This window comes from Homo sapiens, chromosome 3 (genome assembly GCF_000001405.40).
Source record: "Homo sapiens chromosome 3, GRCh38.p14 Primary Assembly".
NCBI lineage: Eukaryota > Metazoa > Chordata > Mammalia > Primates > Hominidae > Homo > Homo sapiens.
The window spans coordinates 98,025,107-98,036,815 of record NC_000003.12 but is presented as its reverse complement, the minus strand read 5'-3'; the positions used below and the strand labels follow the sequence as shown (position 1 = coordinate 98,036,815).

The following is an 11,709-nucleotide window of genomic DNA, read 5'->3' as shown; positions in this document are numbered from 1 at the left end:
CATTGGCTCTTCAAAGAAGGCTTACTGGCTCCGAAATACCTGAAGAAAATGCTTCAACGTTTCTAAACATTACAGAAATTAAAATTACAATACTGATTGAATTACTTAACATTTAAAAGTCTGATAATACCAATGTTAAAAAATATTTTAAGAAATAAGAACTCTCATTCACTGCTAGTGGGGAAGTAAATTGGTACAAGCACTTTGATGAGCAATATGATTGTGCTTAGTAAATTTGAAGGTGTGAAAATTATTTGTCCTAGCCATTTTACTTTTAGGTATTTATCCTAAAGAAACACTTACACATGTGTACAAGAAAATATTTATAAGAATTTATTGCAGGATTGTTTATAATAGAAAAATAAGAAACAATGCCCATCAACAAAAATACGAATAAATGCAATGTTATGCATCCATACTGAAGTGCCATATAGCAGTTAAAATGAATTAACTAGAGGCACATTTATCAACATAATAAATCCCTAAGCATTAAGTTGAAAGAAAAAGTAGCTTTTAGTAGTAAAAGTAGAATATGACACCACTTATATAAAGTTTTAAAACATGCAGAAGTTTGTACATTATTTATAGATACATACATATACAATAATAGTATAACTGCATATGATTATAAACACTAAATCGAGCCTAAGAAGAGAAGCAAGGATTTATTACATCATTCTGTATATTTGTAATCTTTTATATTAAAATATATTTTAAAGAGAAAAGACATGCTTAAGAAACATAGGAGAAGGTTTTAATGCATGGGCTAAAAGAAGCCATAACCCAAACCAAAAGAAATAAGTATGATTAAGCAATTACACAAAATAGAAGGTGTCAAGGACACAAATCAATTTGAGGAAATTTAAGAATTTCTCTCACAACACTATATTTCTGGGAAGAAAATGGCTTTCTTCCTAAGTCCTAGTAAAAAGGTCAACCGTTGCTGTGTTGCTCACCTTGTGCTATTCCAGTTGAAGAAGATTAATTTCAATGACATGACCATTTATTGGTGCTTTGCATATGTGAAGTAGAAATATTTTCTTAAATATTTTCTCTAAGTATGCAAAGCACCTTTAGGAGAGTGTGTGGCTATAATTTAACAGTGACAGTGTGTGCTTTGCACACTGACCAGGATTAAGTTCATTTTTATTAACTGGGTTGCTTGCTATTAAATAAACCTTAAATTAAACCACTTTTGTTATCAATGAAATAAACCATCATCTTAAAATATGATTATTTACCTTAAAAAAAATAATTTTATTTTGTATTCATGCTAAGGCAGTCTGTATGGCATTTGGGGAGGAAAAGATTCTTTCTGGATTAAAAGGAGCCATAAGATAATGGAAAAGGTCTTCAAACGTGTAATTAAGATTAAATTAATCATCTTTTTTTCTCAATAAGCATATTATTTTGCTGAGTCACTAAGTATATTTAAATGATATTGCATTGGATTAAGAGGATTAATGCTTAACCTCACTTCTTTGTTTGCTTAGGACTGCCGCTGAGGGTTTACTGAGTATGGATTGAGCATCACACTAAAAACCTTCCCCGGAAAAAGGGACCAAAGGATGTAAACTGAAAATTTTAAAAATCTGCTTTGTTTTCCTCAAATTGCTGAAGATCCAGGTAGATATTTGCCTGTAAGTGCTGTGAGTCAATTTAATCTGCTAAAACAAAGTGCAGCATTGAAGACAATGTCTTTCTTTTTCCCCTAATGCATTTCCCCTGACATGCTGTTTGTTTTTTAAAAGACACATGAAGAAGAAACTGTGATCACAGTATTGGTTGCGTTCACCTGCATCCTTTCTGTTTTTTTGTTTTGGAAGAGATGGTCCTGGCTTTCCAGTTAGTCTCCTTCACCTACATCTGGATCATATTGAAACCAAATGTTTGTGCTGCTTCTAACATCAAGATGACACACCAGCGGTGCTCCTCTTCAATGAAACAAACCTGGTAAGATGCTCATAGTGCAGTCCATGGAATTACTGCCCAGTTTCTCTCAACAGTTGTCTCAGACCTACAGGAAACCTGGAAACGTATCTTTAATGGTAGCACATCTTTGTAACCATGTCTGTCTCTAGAGATAGCATTCATGCATCATCATAAATCACCTCTGTTTGACATCCGAAAGAGCAATATCTTGGAATTTGCTGACATTTGTAAATTTATTTATGCTTATTTGGGAGAAAACAGTTAAAGGGTTCATGTAAGGATCCTCTTTCAGAGAATGTATTTCTTCAATTAGTAGTACATTTATTACTAATACATTAAATACTTGTTTAATGTTTCTTCAAATTTATTTTGAGTAGAAATTAGTCTAAGCACCAACTTCATTTAATGTCAAGTATTTCTAGGGTATATAGTTTCATGGATTGATGAAATAGTATCAAAAGGCATTAAAGCCATTTGTCTTTCAAGAATAATTTTCATACGTTTGACAAATCATGAATATCAAGACATCATCATTATTATCTTCCCATCAATAATCAGGAGCATGTTTGGACGTGCTAGTAAGGGAGATAGCTATCTGTGAGAGTGACCTCTTTATACACCAATTTGCCTAGGGCTTTATAGGTTTTAGTACTAAAAATGCCAGGAATCCCTTCAGCCCCAGGCATACTGGAATGATTTGTCACCCTACTACCCATATACCTTTAATAATCAAATAATGTCTTTGAGAAAGAGTTCTCTTTTCACCAAGCACCATATTTCCAAAAAGACCCAAAAGGAGAAATTGAGGAATGAAGAGTATCATCTGGTCAACACTGGCAGCCAATGGGGTGACAGATGTTTAAGCTAGATTGCTCTCACATCCTAAATATGTATTATGCATTCACTGTAAGATCAGGAAAGAGAACATAAAATTTTGATAAATATCTTCTGAAGTCTCAGGTTTAATGACCAAAACCAAAAGAAGTGTGTTACTAGATTACTGATTCCTGCACTGCGATTAAAAATCAGGGACTACTGCTCACACTTCCCTTCCATGCTTCTGCTCCCAGACCCAGACCTGAGATGATATGAAGTCTTGTTCCATTTAACCACTTTCCCAGTCTTCGTCATAGCAATTAGCTAAGGAAATATTTGGGAAATGTAAGAGTGTACCACCAGACTCTATTTTTTTTCATATAGCTTATTACGTTTTATAGTATGTTTTATCTAATTTTAAAAATCAAAGGACACTGCTTAAAATATTATCTGTCATCCATAGAGTAGACTTGTACAGTCTGGTGGATGTTTAGATGAGGAGAAGAGAGATGACTATAGTAGCTAATTCATCACACCAACCCACTATCAGTGGCAGAGTTGCTACAGAAAAAATCTACCATGTATATTTTTTAGGTGACATTTAAAGAAAAAGAAAAGAACATTGGTTCTTTGTGGTGAGGTAGAAATTTTTTCTGATGTTAAATGCCTCATTTTTAGATCCTATGTAAAGGAAAAGAAGAATTTTAGAGCCTATGCAAAAGCAGACTTCCCCCGTAGGAAACGCCAGGATTTCGGCCATGTGGGGCCAATCATATTTGTTGTCACTTCTATATTCCTAAATGAAGTGCTCCTTTGAGTCACAAGCCAGAATGGGATTCATTAAAATTTATATCTGCTTCTTTTGTTCTTCAAAGAAACACCCTCCAGGGCACTGGAGATTGCATAAACCATCACACTGGTCCAGAAGTAGCCACTTAGAATGAAACCCAGGCATTTTCCCTGAGTGAACAGAGTAACACAGCCAGCCAATTTCTGAGCTGTCATTCAAGCACTCTGTCATGCAGATTTTAGGGCATTTGACCAAAATACAGTAATTACTGTATAGAGTCATTTTTAGAGTAAGAGGCCCAGGAGTCTTCCTACCTTAGTATGTGAATAGATACTGTGAGGTTCTTTGCCCAGCACCCGACCTGATTATCAGCCAATAATTAAGTAATGAATGAATTAATGAATAATCCACTCTTCTATAATGCAAAAGAACTAATAGAGTGAACATGAAAGGAAGACATGATCTTTGAAAATTATAAGGGGGATTTATATATGCATTGTTTGGGGCCAGTTTTTATACAATAAGGCTCTTAAATGTTTTGCTTTTAGTTGTTTTCATTCAGAATATAACCTCACTTTTTAATCCAGAGATTCCCTTCTTTCAAAACCTAAAGACTTTAAAAAAATATGTATTCAAACATATCTTTTGTTTCCTAAAAACAAAGTAGGGAGAGGTGTGAATAAAGTAAGTTATGGCAGGTGGAAAATGTTCCCCTTTTACCTAGAGAAGAAATTTTACTCCTGGATGATGCAAAGAGGATTAAGCAAATAGACTCACTGAATATTTATTCATTCTTTCAACAATTACACTGAGTGATATTTACATGCAAGTGCTGGGTTGGGGCTAAAAATGCTATAAGAGCAACGTATTGACTCTGGCCTTGAAAATAATCAGCAGAGTGCTGGAGTCTGCTCAGTCTGGCTTGCAACAGCCAATCATTTTCAGGAAATTTATCAGCTGGCTGTTAAAAGCACACATTATTAAAAAATAAATTATATAAGCCTGCAATTAAATTAAATACTTTCTAAAATAAAGGTAGCAAATACTTAAAACTCACCACTTCCCAATGATTTCTCCACACTTTATCATCTGTTGCTCTTGAGGTTATTTAGGTCTATTGTAACTGTATTGTAGAAATACTACAGTATACCATTACTATACTATACTATACTATACTATACTATACTATACTATACTATACTATACTATACTATGTGCTAGACACATCTCTGCCATGCATGTTGTTGGTAGCCTGAAATCAGCCATGGTGGAAGTATTTACACCATGGAAATAAAACACTACTATAAACTGGGGCTTTTTTTCCTAAAGAGTCACTTGTTAAACATTACCCTGAACCTAATGTAAAAGCCAGTAGGTTCTCAGGCATGGCAAATCCAATGCTACTGCAAGCAAGACAGAAGAGAGTGGCAGAGACTACAACTACAAGGTATATGCTCCTCTGAGGGAAACTGGCTGGTCAGGTTCAGCCTTCTCTTGTTTTTGTTTGTTTTTTAATTTTTAACTTTTTTTTTTCTGAAACAAGGTCTTGTTCTCTTGCCCAGGCTGGAGTGCGGTGGTCCAATCATAGTTCACTATAACCTCAAACACCTGTGCTCAAGTGGTCCTCCCACCTCAACCTCCCAAGTAGCTGGGACAACAGGCGTGTGCCACTACACCTGGCTTTTATATTTTTTTGGTAGAGATTGGGTCTGTCTATGTTGCCCAGGCTGGACTCAAACTCCTGGCCTCAAATGATCCTCCAGCCTTGGCCTCCCAAAGTGCTGGGATTATAGGCATGAGCCACCGTGCCCACAGCCTTCTCTTGTTATAAGAGAACTTGAGCCTCGTGTGGCCAGATTTTCTGATTTTTTTCAAAAGAAGCAAGAAATCCAAGCTTTTCTCTGAATTTTTCCAAGTTAATGTACCACGTGAACCATTTTTTAAAAATGTCTGCAGACTAGCTGCTAATCTGGTCTAATTTCCTCATTTCACAGATGAGGAAACTGAGGCCTCCTCACTGAGCTTGTGATCTGACAGAGACCCAAGTGAGATGTGGGAACTGTCGTGTTTCAAGTGAAGCATTCTCTCTGGCTGGCTTTTCCACAGAAATGTTCATCTGCCTAGATTTTTTCCTTTACAAGAGACAGGCTATTGAAAAAGTCAGGTATGTATTTCCAGAGTTCAGAAGTTAGGAGTTCAATCAGAGCCATAAGATTCACTACATCTGATGTACCACGTTTTCTCTAAGACTTTTCAAAAACATCCAGAGCCTGGAAATAAAGATTGGATCAAGAATTATGAAGGTTTTCTTCGTGATGAAAAATTGGACCAATTGATTTTCCCACTACTTTACCTTATTCCTTGGATTTGCATCCATGTATATAGCCTAATAGAACATTTTTGCTTCATTTTGTATTTTTCTAAAGAAAAATAATAAGCCTACAAAAAGTTTTTAAAATTTTGCCTACATTATTTGGAACAGTTAGCTGAGTTTCAGTGTGCACTGGTTCACAGTAAAGCTTGACTGAGAAAAACGTCCATGTTATCAAGAGGCCATGCTTCTAGAATGACAAGGAGAATGGAGTGATAAGGTGGAGAGTTTTGACCAGATTCTTATTTGGAAAGGATTATAAATGGCAAGTTCAATTTTTTCTAGATAATTTATGATACAAATAACAATAGCAATAATGGATTTTTATGTGGAAAAAGATACCTAGAATCCAGTTATGCTTTTGTTTTTCCAAGCTCACGTCTAATCCTGATTCATGAAACTACATGATTTTTCCATGTTTAAAATCATAGCATAGAAACCATTTTGTATTTTCTTCACTTAAGCATTTCTCACATTGCTTCATAGACACCATAATGGTATTTTAATCACTCCATATTATTAATTTGAATTAAAGGACAAGAATTATCTCCTTTGTTTCTGAACATTTATTTTCAAGTTTGCACTATTATAAGTAACAGCAATAAATGTTTTCACACATTTTATTTTTTTCTTTACCGAGAAAATTATGATTTTTCTGGAATTGTATAATTGAGTAAAGCACATGAAATATTTTTATAGTTCTTGAGATGAATTTCTAGGGGAGTTTACCAATATTTATACTCCCACCTGCAAAATGAAAAGGATTTAATCATATCCTTTTTTTTTTTTTTTCCAAGACAGTCTCACTCTGTCACCCAGGCTGGAGTGCAGTGACACGATCTCGGCTCACTGCCACCTCTGCCTCCCAGGTTCAAGTGATTCTCCTGCCTCGGCCTCCTGAGTAGATGAAATTACAGGCTCCCACCACCACACCTGGCTAATTTTTGTATTTTTAGTAGAGATGGGGTTTACCATGTTGGCCAGTCTGGTCTCGAACTCCTGACCTCAAGTGATCCGCCCGCCTTCGCCTCCCAAAGTGCTGGGATTACAGGTGTGAGCCATCGCACCTGGCCTCATCATATCCTTCACAGCATGGGGCACTAACATTATTTTTTGTCTTTTGCTAATTTAATAGATATAAAATGACAGTTATGGCTTCAATTGGTATCACACTCTTGACCCCCTCAATTAAATACTTTTAAATTTGCTTATTAATTATGTCCTCCCTTGGGTAACTAGTCTCTTCGTGTCAGACCTAGTTCTTTTCAAATTCTGATTCTAGTTAACTCATCAAATATGTAGGCCTCCAGGCTCCAGGGAAAGCAGTTTTATAAGGCAGCCAACCGAGTGTGTGTGACTCAAGTCAGATGATTTTTTATCATTCCACTTATAAAACTCCAATGCCGCAGAATGAGTTAGGTGCATTTCCTTTTCCTCAATCAGTTCTAGTTTTTAATCCTTTGACTACTATGTCCTCCTCAAAGACCCTCTTAGTCCCCCTGAGACCACTCAGAATCAAGCCTTTCCCTCCTCCCAGACCTCTGCTTTCTTTGTCACACAATTACAGTAGAGTTTCTGACACTGAGAAGAGGGAGCATAGAAATATGTTTTCTTTGTGTGACCCAGGAAGGAAGAGGCCCCAATTCAAAGAGAAAAACCACACCTATTACCAAGACTCACGCCTACTGTTTCTCAATCTTCATAATACTTTGTGGGAAAGGACAAAAATTAGGAATGCCAGTGAGAGGCTCTCCCACGAATTGAGATTTCTTTGCCTGATCCCATCAGGACTCAGACTCCTAGAAGATCCTCTCCTCAGACAGAAGAAATCCAAAAGCTTCTTCTCAGTAGCGGCTAAACTGAAATCATTTTTTTTTTCTAGAATGGGGGAGAGGGGAGAAGACACAAAGGGATTTAAAGTGGTATGTGTATAGAATAAGACTAGAACACTCTGAGATAAATCTGATGCTCCATGATATAGTGATCCTTTATTAAGCAAATTTCCTTCTGTCTCCTTGGTTTTATTTCATCCTTCATTTTATTTACCTTCCTATGTATGCATCAGAGGCCTTCAAACGAGGGTGTCTATCCTCCTGGGGTACAATGTATTATACCTCTAAGGGTAGATGCAAGGTATCTGAGGGGCATGTAGACATGAATAGTTTTAAAACAGTTTTTGGATCTTTAACTTCCCTCTGACCTCTTTCTTAAAACTGATCTACTCACCACCTGCAGTGTCCTTTATTACCTCCTTTTAATGATTGCTCTGTCCCACCTGGCAATATACAGGCATCCCTCTCCCTCTTCCTGAATCCTACGAGTATTGCCCCAGCGTGTAAAAAGTTCCTGGGTACAAAGAGATCATTACAAATATTGTTGTTGAGATAGCGGATGATGCTGTACTTTTCTTAATGGCAATTCTCTATTTTTTGCTTTTAACAAAATTGAAGGAAGAACCTAATTAATTTGTCAGGTTATAAATAATTAAACTGATTGTTGAAGATAAATTCTACAGTGTGAGTTTTGAAAAGTAAGTAAGGAGTTTAAGTAATTAAGTTGCTTTGTTAAAAGAATACTGAAACAAAATTTCTTCAAATTCCATGTACTTCCACATATATGAACAAACTTTCTCAATATTTCCATCTATAAAGATTAAAAAATAAGAACAGAATTAATGCAAAAACCGAGTTTTATTCCAGCAATGAGTAATACCCATTTGCCGATACATAGAATAATTGGAGAAAGTGAATCATCAGTTCATTAATAAATACAATTTTAATAAAATTTTATTCTTAATTTTAATAAGTATCAATATTTAAACAAATTGTTTTATTCCATTCATAATTATTATAGAAAATAAAAAAGTTAATTTCTATGCTTACACATTTTTCTTACAAAGGTACATGATGGAGTGATAAAATTATATGAAGTAAATAAAATGGAGATAGTAGTTTTTTTTAAAAAAAGAATGATATAAAATTTCTGATTTTTAAAAAGCTTGTTCAGGTATCTTTAAATGCATAATGTGTATATTTAGATTCACTGGATACACTTAAAGGAACAATATGTTTTATCTGAAATCATCAATATTTGAGTAATTTCAAAATTTATGATGAAGAAATGTAAATGTCTATTTAAATATATGTGAGGGGAATATATAGATTTTCAAAATTCTTTAAAAGCGTATTTAAGCAACAGATCCTTTTTGGGAAATAGAAGGTATAAAAAATACAAAAAAAGGCAAAAGTAGATAAATATGGAACATCTCATTGTGCACCTGAAGAGCCCTCAAGTTAGAACAGGTGCAGGTGCTTTCGCACGCTGCCAAGAGAGCATTTCACAGTGGGCTCTGTCTTAAGCATTCTTGGGATTCTTAATTAAGATTTATCCTTTTCAATCTCATGGAGAGGTATGCTTCTGAGCACACACATTAGTGACATGCCATTTAGCTGTATTAAAAGATTATTACCAAAGAGGTTTACAAATTTTCATGAGTTTTCACTCATAGTTACATTTCCATTTTTCTTAAAATAGTAACAAGTAGTTAGATTTATTAAATGTCTACTATTTTCTAGGCCGGTGGATCTCTTGAGAAATTGTTATACATGCAAATTGTCATACCCCAAACCTATTGAAACAGAAGCTCTAGGCATAGGGCCCAAACAGAGCATAATTTGGATGTATGCCAATGAAAATAATGTTTACTTTGGCTTGGTGACTTGAACATAGTAGACATTTAATAAAAGCTAGCTGCTATTTTTTTTTAATAAATAGTTCATTCTAGCTCCTTGAAAAAACTTTTCTAGTTAATTCTAGCTCCTTGGAAAAACTAGTTGTATGTGTTCAATTATTCATAGGATATAATGGCTTAACATGTTTAAAATAAAACTCATTGCCTTCTACCAAAAACAGATTTCTTTTCCCAACTTCTGCATTTCTATCAATGATAAACTACACATCTGTAAACCTCTGATGGTTTCAGCCAGAAACTTCCCTATTGAAAGACCACACTGGGTGATCTCAGGTGCCCATAAGATGTATTCCTTTTAGCAGCTGCTCCAGATTCTGAAATTCTCCCCATCGAAGTCACTTTATTGTGTAAGAAAGTTCACCTACATGTCTTATATTAAAATTCACATTGGTTTCCGATGTGAATTAATATTTTGTATTAATACAAAAGCATATTAGCTATTCAGAATGACTAGGATCCACTTAGTAGAGCCCTCAGGGTCTTGCGTTATTGCTCCTGCTGCCCACGATGATGATGATGATGATGATGATGATGATGATGATGATGATGATGACAGCCACCTTTTTCTGGAAGGAGGTGCTGAGCAAGGTCTCCGGCTGAAGGCTGCTGCAAGTTGCTCACAAAGGAGCTATGCTAAAACAGACATTTCCCCTCCACACCCACAGTATCACTGAGAAGTAGGTGTCACAGGGCAGAAAACAAATCAGGGAGGTCCAGCAACCTGCTCAAGCTCACCGACACAGGGAGAGACAGGGCCTTATTCCCAGTCAGGACACCTAGGGCCAAGAGGCCACTGCCTGCTTTCCTTCGTCCTAGAGAACTGTAGGTAAAAACAGACATCACCTACTTCACAATTTGACCTGGCTTCAGGCATAAATATTGCCATCCCTCAGGCTCTAGAACCCCGGATGGGAATTCTGCCCGGTGCGCTCTCAGCCTGCACCCTGTATTTTCTGCTCATTTTGTCTTTGTAGAACACTGCCTTAATCTGTTTACAATCTTGCGGTCCTTTCGTTTTCTCGCTGTCTTCGTGCAGAGATTGTTCAGCCCCAGTGACCCCAAGGATCACCTAGGTAGCTTGTTCAGGTGCAGATTACTAGGCCCTGCTTCCTAGGGGACTGATTTAGTTGATCTGGGACAGGAGTCCATGAATCTGAGTTTTGATCACCTCCACTCAGGTAATTGGGATTTTCCAGGTCTAAAAACCGTATTCTGAGAAACAATATGAGTTTGTGCATTAAATCCAACTGAGTTTGTCACTTAATGTGCTCCAAAATTTGGTTTACCTTATTTGCTCCACACTTATATAATAAAGAACAAATGTTGACAGCTCTTTGGCTTAATATGAACTGAGAAAATGAGCTTTTATGTATGTATTTCAGAACATGTTATGTTGAGCACAGATGGCTAACCTAAATCAAAATATCCAGAAGCATATGTATCTCAGAAGTTTTTTTTTTCCCTTTGGGGGAACAGCAAACAAGAAACTAGAATGAAGAAAGATGACAGTACCAAAGCGCGGCCTCAGAAATATGAGCAACTTCTCCATATAGAGGACAACGATTTCGCAATGAGACCTGGATTTGGAGGTGAGTATTATCCTCTCAAAATTCATTTCAAAACCCATTGCACTGTCAAAATGGAGGTGAAAATTTAAAACAAGACCAAAATGCAAGTAAAGTCCATCAGTTTAAAACAAAAAAAGAAGGCTTTTACAATCACCTTCTCTTTAATGAGAACAATTGATGAGTTATCCATTTTAAATTGACCAAAAAAACTCATTTTCCTACTATGCACACTGTAGTAAATAGTATGTGTTCCATAAATAGAGAATGGATATATGTTGCCTATACACCAACTTATTTTCTAACTAAAATCCTTAAATTGGATACATGTTATTTATAAAATCTTATTGAATATTCTTATGAGCTAGAATGCCATGCTTTGGGGGAAGAATTAGTATGGCAAATGCCATGGCTTCCTCTGAACGTACTCTGCTGAATTGTCTTTTAAAAACGGTTTATCACTTCTAGCAATTAAGATTGATCA

The 11,709-nt window shown here is 35.9% G+C and overlaps 1 protein-coding gene across 1 annotated transcript in view; it reads left to right on the top strand.

The window, feature by feature from the left end:
* The first annotated feature begins 1,500 nt into the window (after positions 1-1,500).
* Positions 1,501-11,709, top strand: part of GABRR3 (gamma-aminobutyric acid type A receptor subunit rho3) — a 50,214-nt gene continuing 40,005 nt past the window's right edge. Inside the window, exons 1-3 of the mRNA NM_001105580.3 lie at positions 1,501-1,626; positions 1,827-1,953; positions 11,137-11,249. Coding sequence (NP_001099050.1) covers positions 1,829-1,953; positions 11,137-11,249 — 238 coding nt within the window. The 5' untranslated portion in view covers positions 1,501-1,626; positions 1,827-1,828. The remainder of the gene's footprint in view (positions 1,627-1,826; positions 1,954-11,136; positions 11,250-11,709) is intronic.